Raw genomic sequence first — 20,073 nt, 5'->3', positions numbered from 1 at the left:
ATTGGGTAGAACTGAATTGTTTCAAAGTGAGACAGTTGCTAAGAAACAAGGGCTTTAAGAGAGGCTTCCCAGGGCAATCCCTTGGCAGCAGGTGGGAAGAGGCTGGATGGAGTTGACAGTTTCTGAGATGGAGTCTCAGGATGGAAGAGTAGTGAGAGACCCCTTAAACAGCAGACACTGAGAAATCCCGCTTTGCCACTCTTCCCCAAGCACATTCACTACCTGAACGCCATCAGTCAGGCTTCCCGAGCTTCGAATTAGGTAAATTCAATATTGAAAAGAAACGTTTATATTGCCACTTGGGTTGATTATAGCTTGTTTTTCCTTAATTAACTCAGTCCTGACTGGTGAGCATTTAACGATAAATTGTAGCAGTGACTGGAGACTAGAGACTCCGGTCCTTCTGGGACCTCTAGGTAAGCAGTTTTCTTTAACCCACTGCCACCTAGTGGTAACTGAGCAGACTGAAAAACTCTTCATCTATAACCAAGGAGAGAACGGTTGGCATTTTTTTCTGCTTGCCACTCCTATCTTGGAAGCACAGGGAGAGTGATCGATGTGTCTCTTTCCACTGGCCTCCACTCCCTGCCAACATTTAACTGTCACTGTACATTTACAGTGTCAAGCTAGCTGACTCTTTTGCCATTACTTTGATTAATTAGGACATTCTCATTTAATCAGAAGTATCTGAGATTCAAAACAAACAGGCAAGGACCAGACATACAGCACACGGGTCTTGCCTCCCTTTCTACTGCAGCAGTTAGCAACTTGGTGTGTGTCAGCTGGGCTCAAGTTAATGGATCCTTTAAAGTGAGAAACTGGGTCTTGACAGTTAACTTCAGGTTTCCCCCTCTAAGAATAAATGTGACTTTTCTTGTCTACCTTACCAGGTGATTCAGTTCTGGAAGCACACAGAAGAGATCCAAGTAATCAATGTGGCAAATCTGGGACAGCTAAACTTCCTGTACATGCACAGTGGAAAGCTGGTAGAAAATTTAAATATTTTTGGAAGAATGTGAAGATTGATTTGCCAAATGTGGTAAAACACTCAGAGGGAGCAGAATGAATGGTGATTTCAGCAGATCATGAACAGAATGGACTAGTGCCAGTGAGCTATTAGGTAGAATAAATTCACAGGGCAATTACCACTGCTTGCAGCTTAGAGGAGATAATTCAGAATGTGGGCCAAGTTCCTTTCCTAAGCATGAACTTCAAGTAAACTTGGAAGAAAAAAGCCACCTCAAGAGTGGTGTTTTATTTTTATTTTACTTATTTTTATTTTTTGAGATGGAGCCTCGCTCTATCGCCCAGGCTGGAGTGCAGTGGTGCAATCTCAGCTCACTGCAACCTTCGCCTCCTGGGTTCAAGTGATTCTCCTGCCTCAGCCTCCCGAGTAGCTGGGACTACAGGTGCCTGCCACCATGCCCAGCTATTTTTGTTTCCTTTTTTTAGACTGAGTGTTGCTCTGTGGCCCAACCTGGGGTGCAGTGGCATGATCTCAGCTCACTGCAGCCTCTGCCTCCCGGGTTCAGGTGATTCTCCTGCCTCGGCCTACCGAGCAGCTGGGATTACAGGTGCCCGCCACCACACCTGGCTAATTTTTGTATTTTTAGTAGAGACAGGGTTTCACCATGTTGGCCAGGCTGTTCTCGAACTCCCAATCTCAGGTGATCCACCCGCCTCGGACTCCCAAAGTGCCACGATTATAGGCGTGATCCACTGCGCCCGGCAAGAGTGGTGACTTAGATGTGTGGACTTTGGTAAAGAAAAGGTACAAGGTTACAATAATGTAAATGCAGAAGGCTTGAGATGGTCTAACTTTCTAGACAGGTGTCTTCACTTGGTAACAGACTCCCCTGCCTCCTCTCTCCCACCCCCCTAAATCAACAGAGACAAAGCAGCCAGGATATGAATACAGTTTATTACAGTTTTCAGACTCCCATTACGACACATATCTAAAGCTGAACATTGCAAACTGACCTTACTAGCAGCAATTCTCCCTAGACAGGAAGGGTTTCAGTTAATTTAGCAATTAGGAGTAAAGACAAACTTACAAGTCATGGTTTTTCTTGTAGCAGCTGGTATATGAGCAGTGAAACTATAGATACGTAGAGTCATTCAGGTTTAGCCTTGTCTAAAAAAACATTAATAAGTTATGGTGCAGAGGAGTATCCCCAGGGTTGCCAAAGAGAAGGCTGATGTCTTTAGATGTCAGTATGAAACAAGCAAATCACTTTCAAGACATGGCTTACTATTTGCTTTACTGTCAGGACAACAGAAAAAGAAGTGGACAGCTACCCTAGATTCTAGCTCACACATAATTCAGCCAGATAATCATCATTTAAATAATACCCCTTGAAATTTTTCAGACTTTTCACAGCTCTAAAAACACAACATCAGACATAACATCACACATTTGTTCCAAAGGACTAAAAATCAAAAGCAATTGCAAAGTATTGGGAATCACTTTTATGGCTTTCCTAAGGGACAGTCCCCATCTTTCCAAGGAGTGTTTTTAAAGAAGCACTAACTCTGGTAGGTTATCAAACTATTTTTTATTCTAAATAAATAAAAGACTAACTGAAGGTCTCAGGTGCACACTTATTTTTCCCCGCAGATCTTCAAACCATCCAGAACTATTTCTTGTCAGAGAGCTTTCATTTTTATTAGAGCAGTGCAAGATAACGTACAAACATTTGAAAAACACTCAAAATACTGAGAGTAAAGGAGGCCCAACCCTTCCTCAGGGCCCAGAAAACTGACAGGAACCCCAAAGGCTTATCTTAAATCCATCAACTCAATTTGCCAGAAAGTGCTGACAGACCACCCACCTTTGCAACACAGGGCTCAGGATTCTTGCATTTACAACCACTAAGAAAAGCCTTCTGGGAGAAGAAAAGCACAGACTGGTGAACATAAGTTACTGAAAAAGGGTTGACTGCATTCTATATCTGGCACAGGAAAAGAAAAATTCAAACAGCTGTGAAACCATTATATTTACACCACGATACTCTTACATGAACCTTGACTTTCCTACAGCAACAGTTTCATTCACAAAAAATACATAAAAGATTGGAAAGCTTTGGGGTAGCACCAGTGACAGCTAGCTGTCATTGAATAGTTTTAATTTTTTCCTAGAGGCAAAATTTAGAGAAAACTTAAAGAAGCAATTTATAGAAATGATTCTATTTCATGATTTTGCCTTTGTCAGCTGCTATGGAAATGGTGCAAGCAGAAATATAAATATCCATTCTGCATCAAGTAAGTTTCTATTTCTTTTTTCTCAAAGGGTAGAAATGGTACATCTCAATTTTTGTAAGGCTTCTGAGGATTAAGGGCAGCTCATCGCTCAGGACTTGACAATCTCTAAAGGAGCTCCTGGACTCTTTCACCACAAGGATAGATGGAGCCACTCCTATCCACAACTCATAGCAAGGATCTCTATGCATCTAGATTTTAATGCCAACGGTTTCTTGGCTTCCTGACTTGACATGCACCATGCACAAAGAGCAAGGTACTGACTGGTCTAAAGCCACTCTCCCCGGACACTGCTAACTCTAGCTAACCATCTCACAGACATCCTGCCTCTGATCATAAGATGGTCCCTGGAAGGAAGCATAAACACTTCCCAAATACTAGAACAGACAGCCCAAAGTGCAAGTTCTACTAATGGGAGAGTAAATGAATCACCTCTGTGTACAGAGAATGGCACAGGAAATTGTTATGAGTATAAAACCATATCTCCCCTTTCTTAATCACTTGTTATTATCTAACAAAGGTAGATACTTTTGAGAAGACCTCACCAACTACATAAGTATGTCCTATAAATTGTCTTGAAAACATATTCCCATGTTTAAAGATTACTTTGAAGAACCAAAGTTGAATGTTCAAAAATAAAAACTATTCTTACCAAGTTTCCCAAGCCCAAATCCCTGGAGAATTCTAGAAACCAGTTTTGTTGGTTTCTAGTATTTCAGTATTCAGTATTTCAGCTGCATCGAGCCCCCCTCAGGTGAGCTAGTGGGAGTTCCCCGACTCTATCATTATGTTCCTCATTTTCTTTCCTTCTCCTGAGGAAGTCTTCAGTTATTTCCATAGCAACTTGTGATAATGTCCTAAATGATCACATTTTTTGAATAGCACATATATTATTGGGACCTACTTTTTCTTTCTTTTAAACAATATCTTCGATAATAAAGAAAAGGGGACCGGGCGGGATAGCTCACGCCTGTAATCCCAGCACTTTGGGAGGCTGAGGCAGGTGGATCACCCAAGGTCAGGAGTTCAAGACCAGCCTGGCTAACACGGTAAAACCCCTTCTCTACTAAAAATACAAAAAATGAGTCAGCCATGGTGGCTGACCCAGCTACTCAGGAGGCTAAGGCAGGAGAATCGCTTGAACCTGGGAGGCAGAAGTTGCAGGGAGCTGAGATCGCGCCACTGCACTGCCTAGGCAACAAGAGAGAAATTGTCTCAAAAAAAAGAGAGAAAGAAAAGGGAGTAATCTTTAAAAATGAACTTCTGTTAAAAAGTAATTATCATGCTTTATACAAAACAGCACATTTACTAATTTACTAGATAGAATTCATTCCAGAACCACTGTCCAGACCAAACAAACAAATGGGAACATAGAGCACATAAAATAGATCATACACAGTTTAAACATAATTTTCATAGCCAGAATTGTCATGTTGGGCAAAAAATGGTAAATCAATCCTTATACGGCTATATGAAAATTATAGGTAAACATAAAAACAGGCATATGTTTAAGTCAGGTTAGATTTAACTAGGCACTGGAATGAATGAAAACTGATTATATTCCGTTGGATTCCAAATTTCTACCTTATTGGGAAAGTAGAGTACATCATTCTAGCCGAGGGATGAGAGGGCAGGCAGATGAGGATAGCCACACAGGTATACGCAGTGTTGCCTGATGATTAAACCTGACAACTATTTTGGGAACTGAGATTTCAGATACACTATTTAGAATTTAGACTGGCAGCTTCCAAAGATTACTGTTCACTTGAGTTTGTAAACTGGAACCTCTATAAACTTTAGTGCACCTGATCTGGCTCTAGAGTACACTTTACAATGCATTTAAAAATAAAAACAAACAAACAACAAACTTCCACAGATTGCCCTTTCGGGATGTGTCATTTTTAGATGCTCATTCTCCATTTGGTGCTACCATATAAACCCCTTGAAAAGTTCAGGGGATTCTTTCTGATAATGATCAGAAAAGGGTGAGGCCTGGGATATAGCGGGAGCAGCAAAAAAAAAGTTACTCTCCTCTTACTGAAGATACTCTTCTGAGAACTTCCATTGTCCCTTAGGAGGAAGGAATGGAATATGGAAGTTCCAGAAGATACTGCTGCCTTCCGAAGATAGTTACAACAGGATCATAACTATGAACCCTAAGATTACTTTTTTTTTTTTTCCTTTTTTTGAGACAGAGTCTTGCTCTGTCGCCCAGGCTGGAGTACAGTGGTGCAATCTTGGCTCACTGCAAGCTCCGCCTCCCGGGTTCACCCCATTCTCCTGCCTCAGCCACCCACGTAGCTGGGACTACAGGCGCCCGCCACCACGCCCGGCTAATTTTTGTATTTTTAGTAGAGACAGGGTTTCACCGTGTTAGCCAGGATGGTCTTGATCTCCTGACCTTGTGATCCACCCGCCTCAGCCTCCCAAAGTGCTGGGATTACAGGCGTGAGCCACCGTGCCTGGCTGAGATTACTTTTTTATGTAGCACCTGCCTTGCTTCTGTGTCTTATAAAGACACAGAATTCTTACAAAGCTATGAAACAGAGTCAGGAAAAATTACTCATGGCACTTAAAGATGTTTAGAGACTGTAAAATGCCTTCATTTTTTTTTTCTCAATGCCCCTGTGAGGTAGGTGTCTGTGGGGAAAAAGCTGAGGCACGGAGGGGTTAAGTCTGCTCACCTTTTCATTGCATGATGAGCCAGTGGTCCAGCTAGCAGGACCAGGTGTCCCAGCTCCCTAAACTTTATTCACCCTGCTTCTCAGAAGGCTTATTTATGTTACACAACAAATACAGCAGGGGAAAGTTTTCTTTTCATACATTTTAACTAGTTGGCTATTTCTTATTCTCACCTTGAACATAAGTTATCTCAGATAAAACCAAATAAAAACAAAACAAAAAAATCAATATTGCCTAACAGTCTGTGTCAAATGCAGCCTATTCTGCACTAGTGATTGAAAAAGCACAGAATATGATTCAAGTAGAAGTATTTGTGGGTGCTATGGTGTTCCTGTTGACTCAAGCCAGGCTGTGAGTAAAGTGTCGCTTTAGACACTACCCACTGTACTTTGTAAGAACTTCTTTGGCCTGACACAAGGGAATAAATCTACCACCCCTGTTTCATGGTGAAACCATATTCTGAAAGATATTCTACACATGCTGGCCCTGCCTGGAAAGGGGACTCTCAGCCGTGTGATGTGTATTACCGAGTTCATGCACAACTCTTTGAAGCTGGACATGAAGGTCACAGTCTCCTGACATAAAGCTCACAGGACAGTTCACACTACGGACAGAGGGGCAATACCACAGGGTACATGCACTAGCACCATGCCACAGAAGTCAAAGAGAAGGACAAGAAGCCACCACACAAGCATCTTAGAGTCCCATCTGGTATGCCATTTGCAGAGGCTACCTCTGGTAAGGGGAAGACTGAAGAGGTCCTGTACTCCTTTCCATAATAAGAAGAAGGATCAAAACAGAGCACTCATTGCTGGCTGCTTTGAGCATACCGCCTATCCAAATTTCACCCCTACATAAGTTGGTAACTTTCCTTGTAGATATTCAAAGATAATATATGTCATTTCTTCATCAAGAGAGAATCATGTCAGGCAAAATTCAAAAGTTAGTTACAAGACGTGGATGCAGGGCTCCAAGGCAATTTACACCACTACTCTTGGAATCGAATTCATGAGTACTCAGGGCACTAGCTTTTAGACATGCAATACTTCTTTTTGAGACTTTTCTTTCCCCTATAGTATCTAAAATGTAAATTCCACTCATATCATGACCCCTAAGTCTAATGGAAGATCAGATATTTGGTTTCAGGGTCTGAAGTAAATCACAATACCAAATCAGATGCATGTATCTATGAATGCTTTTTGCCTTGATATTAATGCAAACGCCTGCCCTCCCAAGGCCTGTCCTCCCCTTGAGCTCATCTTCCAGGGGGCTGAGCCTGCTCCGTCCTCTGCATATGCAGGACCAGAGGGAATCATTCCAACTCAGAGTTTCACTGGGATACTAGGATACAGCATAGCAGCAATTCATGCACTTTATTTCTAAAAACCAAAGCTCAGGCTGAGCTGGTCACTGTGCAAGATGAACCAGCAGGACATTCTCGCCTCGAATGAAAATCTGATTTATGTGTCGAGTGAATACCTGCTGGTAATCCACTTTGGGCTTTCGCTTTTTCTTACGGGACTGGCCTCTGGAAAGGGTGGTAGCCCTGGAAAAGGTACCTCCCACACTGGAGCCGTCTGTCCGTGTAGTCCTCCCTGACAGCTCTGACCTGGACTCCTCCCTTGCAGAGGCCTGCAGGGAAGAAGGGACAGAGCGGGAACGCTTGTGTGAGCCCCGGCCAGTGTCTGCTCTTCCCCACACTGAAGCCAACTTCCAAGTGGATGTCTGTGAGTATCTAGACAGAGTGGAATCTTCAACTGCAGACTTAGAATCTGCTTCCTTCTTGGAGGAATCTTGAAGTTTCAGCCGATCAAATAGCTATAAAGCAAACAATGATAAATATTAGCCTTCTCTTTAGCCTTCATCACCCTCTTTCAACATACAGAAAAAGACCAAATTCTTTAATTATGTTCTGTGGACTCCTTGCTTTGCAATTTTTTAAAAGTTAGTAATAAATCTTTTTTTTTTTTTTTTTTTTTGGAGACGGAGTCTCACTCTGTCGCCCAGGCTAGAGTGCAGTGGTGCGATCTCAGCTCACTGCGACCTCCACCTCCCAGGTTCAAGCAATTCTCCTGCCTCAGCCTCCCAAGTAGCTAGGACTACAGGCGCCTGCCACCCTGCCCAACTAATTTTTGTATTTTTAGTAGAGATGGGGTTTCACCGTGTTAGCCAGGATGGTCTCGATCTCCTGACCTCATGATTCACCCGCCTCGGCCTCCCAAAGTGCTGGGATTACAGGCATGAGCCACCACGCCTGGCCATAAATTTCCTATTTCTAACTATAATGCACATAATACATATGTCAAGAGAAAAGGCTTATTTCTGTGGTATAAAGCTGAAAGACTTTCAGGTGTTGTAAGAGACAACTTGCTCCTCAAATAATATGCAGGTTACAAGCACAGACTCACTTGAGATTCACTGGAAGCATGAAAAGAGGAACTAAGGAATACCTTGGTACAGGCACAGCTGGTTTATAGCAACAGAGATTTCCCTCTAGGAAATCCTAGTCACTGGGCTCAGGGATCTTAATTCCTAAGCTGGAAAGCATGATGGCTACTCAGGAGGTCAGGGGAAAACTGCCTACCCTAGTGAGAGTCAGTGAAGAATCCCGTTCATATGCTTTGCCTAGGACAGGTTTTCGGTAGGTCTCATCCACATCAGTAAGTGCCTAGAGGAACAGCCCAAAAGGAAAAACATTAGACAGAATTAAAATTATTATTTGTATAGCTTTTTCAGGGAAAAAAAAAAAGGCAGAGTAACATCTATTCAGAGCAGAACTACACTTAACAGATGACTCAGCTCCTAGGCAGAAGAAAATGGTGACACCTGGTACCTTCTGTGTAATATTTTTAAGCTGCTATCACCATATAAGATGGGTTTCACCTATGGATGGTAAGGGCCTTTATGACTGCATGGTAGAAGGTCTTAAATTTCAGTGTGCAAGAATATCTAGGAGGTTTATTAAAATACGAACCCAAAGCTATTCTGCTGGAGATTCTGTTTTGGTAGGTCTGGGATGAAGCCCAGGAACCTTTTGTTTCAACCAGAAGCCCCAGGTGATTCTGATGCAGGATGGCTTTAGATCCCACTTTGAGGAACATTACTGCTTCTTTACCCGCTTCAGTTTCTATGTCTTATGAAAGCAATTAACAGAGATTAACCAGGGTTACACACAGAATTGCTGGTGAGTTCTCATCACCGAGAGCAACCTCGACAGGACAGCTGTTAGGACCAAATGAGAAGTACAAGACAAATTCCTTTGAAAAGTGTAAATCACCCTACAAATAGAAGCTGACAGTACTGTTATAATCACCACTATCATCTAACACATTCTCTTCAATTCTTCAAAGGTAAAAAGATCATAATAAAACATTTTTCCCTGCATTTTGGAAATGAGAAAACTGAGGCTCAGAGAAATTATCTTGCTTACAGTCACACAGTTACCAAGTGATGATGCTAGGATTCAAATTCCCTAATGGTTAAAAACATGGTTTTAGGAGTTAGGCCGAGGAAAAAGTTTGGCACTTCCACTTACTAACAGTGTGATCTGCGACCAACATTCCAATCTCTCTAGAATCAATTTCTTCATTTGTGAAATGGAACAGTAATAGTACCCACAACTCATTCATTGAGATAATATATGAAGCCCTCAGTATAGTACCTGGCACATAGCAGGTACTCAATATATGTTAGCAGCTACTGTTCTTATCCAGGAGGATGCGTGGATGGGGATAAAGCACAGGGAAAAGGAAAGTTGGAGATAGAAGACCATATGGAAAAGAAACACCAGAAAGCTCTGGTGGTTCTTTTTTTTTTTTTTTTTTTTTTGACAGAGTCTCGCTCTGCCACCCAGGCTGGAGTGCAGTGGCATGATCTCGGCTCACTGCAACCTCCGCCTCCCAGCTTCAAGTGATTCTCCTCCCTCAGCCTCCTGAGTAGCTGGGATTACAAGCTTGTGCCACCATGTCTGGCTAATTTTGTATTTTTAGTAGAGATGGGGGTTTCCCTATGTTGGCCAGGCTGGTCTTGAACTCCTGGCCTCAGGCGATCCGCCTGCCTCGGCCTTCCAAAGTGCTGGGATTACAGGTGTGAACCACCGCGTGCAGCCTAGTAGTTCTTAACTACCTCAAATTATAGTTGTGCTATTACATATCCCTTCTCTCCTACAAATGTCTAGAAAAAAAGTAAGCCTCTAGAAGGCTAGGAAGTGTGGCACACTCCCTCATTATAAAACCACCATGTGGCCGGGCGCAGTGGCTCATGCCTGTAATCCCAGCACTTTGGGAGGCTGAGGCAGGCGGATTACCTGAGGTCTGGAGTTCAAGACCAGCCTGGCCAACATGGTGAAACCCTGTCTCTACTAAAAATACAAAAATCAGCTGGGCATGGTGGCAGGGGCCTGTAATCCCAGCTACTCAGGAGGCGGAGGTTGCAGTGAGCTGAGATTGTGCCACTGCACTCCAGCCTGGGTGACAAGAGCAAAACACTGTCTCAAAAAAAAAAAAAAAAGACATCATGCAAAATGCTTTGTTTACTGATGTCTGCTTCACCTCTATCCTTATTTACCTTCCCATGTACTGTAAAGTGCAAGTTCCTTTCTGAAACTTTTGCACCTAGCATGGGGTTCAGCCAAAATGGGAAGTCAATAAATGTTTTTCTTAATTAATGAAAGAATGGTTGGTAGAAAATCAACTAAAAATTACTAAACCGATAAAATAATTGGTCCTTAAGGCTGGGTTTCTCAACCCTGGCACTAAGGACTTTTCAGATTGGATAATTCTTTGTTGTTGAGGGACTATCTTGTGTGTTGTAGACTGTTTAGCTGCAACCCTGGCCTCTACCAATTAGATGCCAGTAGTACCCTCTCCTATAGTGGTGACAATAAAATGTCCCCAGACATTGATGAATGTTCCTGGGAGTGAAGGAAGAACAAAATTACCTTGGTTAAGAGCCACTGCCTTAAGGAGAAGGAAGCAATAAAAAGACCTTTTCTTGTTGTTGCCCAAAAGTATGCAAAAATTCTAGTTCTTCTAAGAAGTTATTTTTTGGGTTTTACTTAATGCAGTTACTCAGGTCCTTTAAATATTATAGAAGATATAATCTGTAGGAGGTTCTCCAGCCCCTTGAGAAAGGCTTAATTACCATATTCCAGAACTTGTCGAATGCAACAAGGAAGCCTGTACAGACGCCCCGAAGTCCCTTGAAAGTGCGGATGTGAACATTCACCTTCACCCCCTCACGGATACAGCGATGGAGTTCACCCAGAGGGCTGCCTTCGTGCACTGAAACAAGAGAAGAACAGTCAGGACAGTTTTAATATCTGCCCTCATTCCCAGAATTAAGCCACGACCACCCAACTTCGGCCAGCAACATGTGGCCCATGGTAGAGTGACAATCTCACTATTGGAACAGGAAGGTCCAATGGGCAACATGGCTCGTACGGCCAACACACACTGACACAAGACTAGATTCCAACAGAATGTGGATCATCCATATGTATGAATATCAGCCAAATGTTTCACTACCGGTATATCTCTTATTCCACGATGTCACTGATTTTAACATGCACTATCACTTAACTTTTGGGGTTGGCCGGGCGTGGTGGCTCACGTCTGTAATCCCAGCACTTTGGGATGCTGAGGTGGGCGGATCACCTGAGGTCAGGAGTTTGAGATCAGCCTGGCCAACATGGTGAAACCCCATCTCCACTAAAAATACAAAAATTAGCCAGGCATGGTGGCCCATGCCTGTAATCTCAGCTACTCAGGAGGCTGAGGCAGGAGAATGGCTTGAACCCAGGAGGTGGAAGTTGCAGTGAGCCGAGATCGCACCATTGCACTCCAGCCTGGGCAACAGAGCAAGACTCCATCTTGAGAAACACACACACACACGGGCACGCAAACATTAAATGTATACATTAACAGCGAGATCCTTCTCAATTCTGTGCCTTAAGACAATTCATGAATCACATATCCAGCTTGAGTCTTCCAAAAAAACAAAAACCTTGTTTACATGTTCAAAGGAAACAAACTGCACTCTGCCCTTAAACATGTACAATCCTGTCAGAAAGAAAGGCCTTTGACCCCACCAAAGCTACTCCATGCACAAGCTTTCTGGACTCACTGGTGTTTCTGGGAGGAAAAGCACTGGTTCTGGCCCAAGCCCTGACAGTGTAAAAGGCACCTGGCTGAGTATCTGGCTCCTATGACACTACTAATAAGCATCATGTGAAGAGAGCAGGATAATGACTCATAGGAAGAATATTGAGACTATAAATTTCAGCTTTTATTATGAAGGATTCTCAGAGCGTGGGAGGAAAGATGAATTTTATTTTTATTATTTCATGTTAACTCAGCTCTCACAATATGCTGGCTATGGTATATAAAACCTCCCAAAAGAAAGCCGTACACATTCTTTTTTCCTGAGACAGGGTCTCACTGTCACCCAGGCTGGAGTGCAGTGGCACAATCACAGCTCACTCCAGCCTTGACCTCCCTGGCTCAAGCGATCCCCCTAGCTCAACCCACTGAGTAGCTGGGACTACAGGCACGCACTACGCACCCCCAATCTCTCTCTCTTTCTCGTGCGTACACAGTCTCACTCTTTCCCAAGTTTGCAACGCAAAATTCTGTAGAAAGTTTATTTTTGGTCAGGTCTTAGAAGTCTGGATATATAGAGTATTTGGCATTGACAGTAGACAAATGAAAAATCTCTCCTGCTTTGTTTCTAGTGACATAAAGGAGAACAACAGTCCTGCACTTCAGTTTGGATAACTAAATTGGTTCCTCCTGAAGCCACCTTATCCCTCTGTCATGGATTGGCTTATAAATGATGGCTGTGATAAATTAATAAAAGATTCTTAGAAGAAAATGACTTAGCAGACTAGCAGGAGTTTATGTCAGATTAACGGTGTGAGAATAACTCGGAGTTGGAAGCGACACGAAGCAGTGACTTTGGAAAAGACCATGAGAATTCTGGTCTGACCATCATCATTTACCTCTCTTCTAGCAGTATTTTAAAGTCCTTTGTACATTTGCTAGCTAAGGGTGTGTATGGGTGTGTGGGTGTGTGTGTGTGTGTGTGCGCGCGTGCGCGCGCGTGTATATGTGTTATAGGCCATATTAAATCAAGCATTCAAGCATTGTAAACAATTTTCAGGTCATTATAACTAGTTGTGTGAACCTGATGAATAACTTTTTCTTTAAGTTCCAAATTTCCTCATTCATAAAATGAGGTTAAGATAGTTAACTTGTAGATTTATTTCAGGACTAAGTCCCAATAACTCAATTTCTTAGAAACTGATCACATGCTTGCATTATTTCTTTTCCTACACATACATATATACTGCCCCCTGCCCTATGATGTATGTTTATACAAAGAGTGGAAAGACTATTTTTTTCTAACTTGGAAAAAAACAGGGACATTACTTCTTTCCCACACCTCCAAAAATAGAAAGGGCAAGCAGGTATCTTAGCAACAGTCTCTTACTCTAATTAAATAGATGGCAAATTCAGGTCTTTCAATTGGTCTTTCTCAAACGTGTACCTTTAATTTTTTTCTTCCAAAGATTTAATAAGGTGTAATTCCAGGAAGCATTGCTCTCCTTGTATCCTTGTGTGATCAAAAGTACGACACTAGCACCACCTATCAGAGCAAACCGCCAAGGCAAAAATGAGCTCCCCATTCTGAATCAGAGTGCACATTCTCTTTCCAGCCGTCTCTGTGGCAAGCTCCAAATGGATATGAGTCAGGTTTCTATGACCAAATATGACAAAAAAGCATATGCCTTATCTTTGGAGAAAGTTACTCTTCCAATCCCCTTCTCTATTGCCACATCCTTCCAGATCCAGGTCATTTTCAGCTCCACTCTTCCTTCTCCTGCTACATGTAAATTATACCATCACAGCCTGATTTTAAAATAACTGTTCTCAATCATGCCCTTCTTTAAAGACCTAAAACTTGCCTCTTACAGTAACTCTTGTTTTCCTTAGAAAGAAATATTTAATAGGAATGTAGGAACAGAAGCCACGTCTGCGTCTCAGGTGGCGGCAAAACAAGATGGTGGATCCCCGTGCCATGACCCCCAGATGCAGGGCTTATATGCTACAGGGAAAGGGTGATTCAGAAGGGATGTGTAGGACAATTGAAGTAAGATAACGTCAAGGTTGTTCTCATGTAAGGACAGGAATTACAGTAAGTACATGCTCTTACACAAGAAACAACAGATAAATTGGAAATCTTAGAGGCCTTCCCAGAACTGGGTTTAATCAGAAGTCAACATGGTGGACTGGCATTCAAGATGGAGTTGCTTTAGCCTCCACAACTACCTATTCAAAGATTTAAGGACAAAACTGTATCTACATATATATCTCCAAATATACAAAGTTATTAGCTCATTAGGGCAAAGGCAGCTCCCCAGATTCCATAACCTATTAAGGGCCCAGAGAAATGAAACCACAAACTGTAACAGTCACCTTATGAGTCTGCAATGGAAAAATATTTTCTCTTTTCTCTGAAAATAGTTTTAGTTGCCATTCTATAGAAGGGTGCCATGACAGATTGAAAGTACAATGTTTGAATCAGTGACCCGGCAAAGGCACATCAGTGTCTTCCCTATTGTGATGCTATGTCAAACTGGCCTAAACACACACACACACACACACACACACACACACACAGCAGTGTGGTGCAGAAATCATCTGAGACTATTCCTTAGTTGCACTGGAGACAGCTGACTGGAAACAGCTGCAATGAGCTGAGAAAAGTGACAAGGCTGAATTTTAAGCTTGGCCTTTTCTGAAGCCTAAGTACCGCTGTTCTCGGTTTTATGTAAGTCATACTCATGCCCTTTTGGCAACCTCTGTGTAACAGAGATGCTGTTCAAATTTGAGAGTTCATTTTACTGCTGTACACAGGGCTCAGATGTTCTTGATTTTGCCTATTTTCTTGCTCTTTATTTGCAGGAAGTGAAGTCAAAGTTATCCAAAGAATATCACTTTATTAAAATGAAAACATCAAGACACCATATTGTGGGAAATTATTTCAGCAATCAAAGTAAACTACAACAACAGGACTCAAACAAATTTTCAATCATGGTATCACGTCAGAGGCCCAATAAATCAGGTTTGTTTTGAAATCCTTCTCAGCAGGATGTGTGCGAGTAAAAGGACTGTGTAGGCTCCCTGCAGGAAAACTGAATTTGGAACTGGAGACAAGCCATTCACCTAGACAATGGTCTAGGAGCCAAACCCTGCATGTCATATGCATTTTGGATTGACCACACACACTTGTTCACACCGGCACAGGCTGCACACCAACACACCTGTAGCTAAAACAAAGTAATGATAACACTTTTTCTTACAGCTTTATAATGTCAAGACGTGAGCTTGAACACACCAGTTCATTTCACAGTGACAGATATACCTAGAAAAAGCTTGCTTGAAGCACAATTATAAACCAGAACCACCGTGGGCTAGGTATGGTGCTGCGATACTAAGGAGAAATATAGACACTAGAATTATGTGGAAAAGAGGATAATGCTCTTTAGTCTTGTCTTACCATCTCTATAGGCATGTCAATATTAAAAAGGAGGAAAAGCAATTGCATTCCACTTGCAAGTACAGCTTGTGTGTGAGTTCTTTGTTGGTATCAGTGATGGCTTAGGCTTAATGATGACGAAAAACCTTTCCTCCTATGCTTTTTTTCTTCTTTAGTATTCCCAGTATTGCAACAGCCTCCTATACTTTTATTATTACTTTTTTTTGAGACCTCGTATCACCTCTGTAGAGGTCTCTATGATGTCCCTATGATCTCGGCTCACTGCAGCTTCCACTTACAGGGTTCAAGCGATTCTCGTGCCTCATCCTCCTGAACAGCTGGAACTAGAGGCAGATGCTGCCATGCCCAACTAATTTTTGTATTTTTAGTAGAGACAGGGTTTCACCACGTTGGCCAGGCTGGTCTTGAACTCCTGGCCTCAAGTGTTCTGCCCGCCTCGGCCTCCCAAAGTGCTGGGATTACAGGTGTGAGCCACTGTGCCTGGCTACTTTTAAAATTTTATTACTGCAAGGAAAAGAATACAACTGCTCCACAAGGGAATTCAAAGAGATTCTATGACAGAGATACAAAGTGAAATATTTTACAGTTAAAACACCATTACACTTAATTTTGCACTCCTTGTTTTTTCATAAACATTCCACACTGTCCTCTCTGTGAATTTGGATGGGTAACTTGGATCTGAATTGATGAAATACATCATTTTAAAGTCAGCGACAAAATGTAGCTCCTCATGTATTCTTCATTATGTTTCACTGATGATATGACCTAACAAAGCTTCTTCTTGCTGTTACAGCCTGATGGAACTTACATTTTATGTGAATATTTTGCAAAGGATTATGCATTCTCAAATGCATAGGCATTTTTTTCCAGAAAGCATTTGTATATGTCCACAAATAGTATTATCTTACTGGTATCTATATTTTGATTTTCCTGAGCAACTGTATCCAATCAGAGTTTAGAGTAGGCATATATTTTTTTAAATTAAAACTGTGGCATACATATAAAACATACCTAGTTCTTTTTTTTCCCCCCTTCCAACTTTTGTTTTTGGATCAGGAGGTACACGAAAGGTTTGTTGCAGGTGTAAATCGTGTGTCACTGGGGTTTGGTGCACAAATTATTTTGTCACCCAGGTAGTGATCACAGTACCCAATAGGTAGTTTTGTGATTCTCACCCTCCTCCCACCCTTCACCCTCAAGTAGGAACTCTTTCTTGAATGAATCCAATCCTCACCCATGTTTCTGTTGTTTTCTTGCTTTCTGAAGGTCATCAACTCTGTGCGACGTCAATGCCTTTCTCTCATGTACACTCAACTGTCTGCAGTGCCATGGTGAAAATTTTCAGTATGTAGGGCATATTCTCTGAGATCTTGATTCCAGGGATATATACTTAATCATAAGAAGTTGACAAAGCTGGTCTTCACACACTGTCATACCATTACAGTAAAGTGCTCTATAGGGAAAGCTAAAACCACCCACCACATAGCAATACACAGGAATATTCCTTTCCCTTGACAATCTTGGTAGCAAAGCAATAACTGGTAAAATAGAAATAAATGTTGCAATGAGACTTGGAGTGCATTTCAACTACCTAATGGTGGCAAATTGCATAGGCAAATTAAGGTCCCCCAAACTGCTCTCATTTTGGGAACAAGCATACTGTCTTTGTGTTACAGCCAGGCAAGCAGGCCGGGGTAAATCCTAGCTTGGGCAGGGATGCTGTGGCATGGTAAGACATCCAACGAAGGCACACGGAACAGCACAGAGCGTTTCAGGATGTTCTCTCTTAATAAACAAATTTCTAGGAATGAAGCAAAACAGTCCCTTGCTTGGCACACCTCTCCATCCAAAAGACAGTGACTTAATAAGGTAACAATTTAATTATCAGGATACAGATGCTTTGAATGGCTAAGTAGGTCATTGTGTTCACAGGGCAGATGTCAGAACTGCTTGCCAGATGACAAAAGAGATAACCTTAGGCTGTTTTTATTCCATTTATACAAGACCTAACTCACACATTAGAGCCTCTGCTGTTTACAGCTTTACTCTAAGGATCTATGAGGAGGCTCCAAGAAATTCCCTTGTGCCATTTACACCTTTAGAACTTAAAATAACCTGCACATATGGTAATATGAGCCTGACAGACACAGTCCTGCACCCAGCCAGGCAGAGTGGCTGTAAAACAGCGTCTGTGTTTTAGTGGCATTCTGTGCCTGCTGCATTTCAGCACTTGTGACTTAGTAATGTGAACATATGTGTATCAAGACTCTGCAGCCCTTCTGCTTATCGCACTCGAGAAGGAGCTGTCAATGTACAGGGGTTATGGGATTATGCGCCTGTGCTATCTGAACAAATCTCCCCACACTCCATCCGATCATCCTCAAATCCCACTGACCAAATACTCTCCTTCCCCTAATATTGGCTGTGCGCTCCCCCACGTCTCCCGTTTTCCGCCCCACCTTACCTCTCACTGTGGTCTCTAAGACCTCTCATCACCTCTGTAGACGTCCCTATGATGTCCCCCAAACTCTGTAGCCCCGCCACCTCTCCAGGTCCTCCATCAATCCTGTAGACCCTCTCGGCAGGCTCATCACCTCTGTGACCCTTCCATGGGCCCCGATTACCGCTGAAGACCTTTCCCACGGCTTCTTATGACCACTACAGCCTTACCACTCTCCCTCTGTTGCTCCTACAGCCCCTTTTCTTACTCAGGGTGACCCTCCCCACGCCCTCATTACCCACATTACTCAAGCAGATCCACCCCATAGTCACTGATGATCCCCGCAAATTTTCACCAAGGCGCTCCCGCAATACGTGCAGACCCGCGCCCGGCCACCGCCGCCCCGCAGACGCCCCCTCGGCAGCCAGCTTCCGGACGGCGGCTGCCCCGCTTCCCGCCCGGCCCGCGGACTCACAGGGCATTCGCGTGAGCACGTTGCGTGGCGCCTTCCTGCTCCGACCCGGACCCCTCCGGCCCGCTCCTGCGGCCCCGTCCCCTTCCTCTTTGGCCACCATGAGACGGCGGAGGCGCTGGATGCGCTCGGGGTCCGGGGCGGGCGCGTCCGGGCGGCGACGAGTCCTGCCCGAGGGCCCGGGTGCGGCGGGAACCCCAGAGCCCGCGGCCGCGCCCCGAGCCCGCCCGCGCCCGCGCCCGCCGCCCCGGACTCCGGTCCTGAGGAAGCTCTCGTACTCCGCCACGTTGTTGAAGCAGGGGGCATTGGGGTAGGGAATGGGAGGCAGGCGGGGCGCGTACAGGGCCAGCAGCGGGTCGAAGCTGTCAGAGCTGACATCCAGCCGCGGGCTGGGCGGGCGCGCGGGGCTCCCGGCGCCAGCCGACCTCGCCCCCCGCTCCCGCTCCTCCATGTTTGAAAGGCCCGCAAGCCGAGGCCGATGGGAAGAAGGAACGAAGCCGCCAGAGGGCGGCACTGCGCAGCCGCGGCGCGGGGTTGCACTGCGCCGAAGCGGCCGCGGGAGGGCAGCACCTGTCCTCGTTCCACCCGGGCCGGGGGGCGTGGTACGCGGCTCCGACCAGCCCGCGCCTCGCACCGCCTCCTCCCATAGCTGACAGGTTAACGCTGTCGACTGCTGCTTGACCTGCTCCAGCGCAGTTTCCCCGTCTGTATCATTATCACTTAGGGTGTTTGTTAATACTCTGGGTTCCCCGGGAATGAGCTCGGGATCGCATCCTAGCTTGAGCTGGCAGGAAGCGTCTGGAGGAAGGCAATGAATGTCTCAGTTTGCTTCCATGCTGAGTACTACTGATAGGGTGGGAAGAATAGCCTATCTGGGCTCAAAGTATTTAGCGTGTTTCTCGTCTGAAATATGATATAAATAGCACCTACCTTATAGAACTGACCTCAGGATGGAGAGATACTGCCTACAGAGCTCATAATAGATGCATGTCAGCCAATACTGGGTGTCTGTCCTCCATTTCCTATACCCTGTGCATAAACAAATTTGTGCTTAGTATCAAAGAAAATTCATTATATCACTGTCTTTCTAAGCATTGCTAACCAATTGGAAGAAACGAAGATCCAGCTCTTGGAGGAAACTATGGAAAATTCCCAAGACCTGATCATACCACTTGCTACTTTATAGTCTCAGTTCGGCAAAATATTTTTTGGTTGATTTTAAAATGACAGTCTACTCTTCGCGGAAGGCCCAGATATAACCTTCTCATCCAGCAGAGCCAAAATGTTTCCACTCACCTACAGGCCACACATCACTTGCCCGTCACCACATTCTCAAACTGCCATCAACTAGTATTCTCTGTACTAGTTGCTTTGTGTACATTTCAGTTTCCTTAAGACTTAGGAAGTCCAAGAGAATACTGGAGAGTACCTTAGAGAGCAAGATGAAAATTAATATACAACTCTGAAATATACCTTGGGATGAATGCATACTACAGCGAAGACAAAACCATCAAGCAGGCCGGGCGCGGTGGCTCACGCCTGTAATCCCAGCACTTTGGGAGGCCGAGGCGGGTGGATCACGAGGTCAGGAGTTCAAGACCAGCCTGGCCAAGATGGTGAAACCCCGTCTCTACTAAAAATACAAAAAATTAGCCGGGCGTGG

General features: G+C 43.9%; 1 protein-coding gene across 1 annotated transcript, besides 3 other annotated features; it reads right to left on the bottom strand.

Annotated features, from left to right (window-relative positions):
- Window positions 479-528: a silencer, noted in NCBI's record as "silent region_16564". NCBI's record gives its function as "represses an Ori minimal core promoter by ATAC-STARR-seq in GM12878 lymphoblastoid cells {active_cell/tissue: GM12878}" and the evidence as "EXISTENCE:reporter gene assay evidence [ECO:0000049][PMID:35858748]".
- On the bottom strand, window positions 1,903-18,900 carry LSM11 (LSM11, U7 small nuclear RNA associated). The gene is made up of 4 exons (NM_173491.4): window positions 18,414-18,900; window positions 11,083-11,222; window positions 8,525-8,608; window positions 1,903-7,758 (listed from the first exon to the last, which is right to left on the bottom strand). The coding sequence occupies exons 1-4, from the start codon at window positions 18,859-18,861 to the stop codon at window positions 7,348-7,350; spliced, it is 1,083 nt and encodes a 360-aa protein (NP_775762.1). The 5' UTR covers window positions 18,862-18,900; the 3' UTR covers window positions 1,903-7,347.
- Window positions 18,037-18,537: an enhancer, noted in NCBI's record as "H3K27ac hESC enhancer chr5:157171083-157171583 (GRCh37/hg19 assembly coordinates)". NCBI's record gives its function as "activates a minimal SCP1, AML or CMV promoter by ChIP-STARR-seq in naive and primed H9 embryonic stem cells {active_cell/tissue: H9 hESC(naive and primed)}" and the evidence as "EXISTENCE:reporter gene assay evidence [ECO:0000049][PMID:30033119]".
- Window positions 18,557-19,116: a silencer, noted in NCBI's record as "silent region_16563". NCBI's record gives its function as "represses an Ori minimal core promoter by ATAC-STARR-seq in GM12878 lymphoblastoid cells {active_cell/tissue: GM12878}" and the evidence as "EXISTENCE:reporter gene assay evidence [ECO:0000049][PMID:35858748]".

This window comes from Homo sapiens, chromosome 5 (genome assembly GCF_000001405.40).
Source record: "Homo sapiens chromosome 5, GRCh38.p14 Primary Assembly".
NCBI lineage: Eukaryota > Metazoa > Chordata > Mammalia > Primates > Hominidae > Homo > Homo sapiens.
This window is presented reverse-complemented; position numbering and strand designations above follow the sequence as displayed.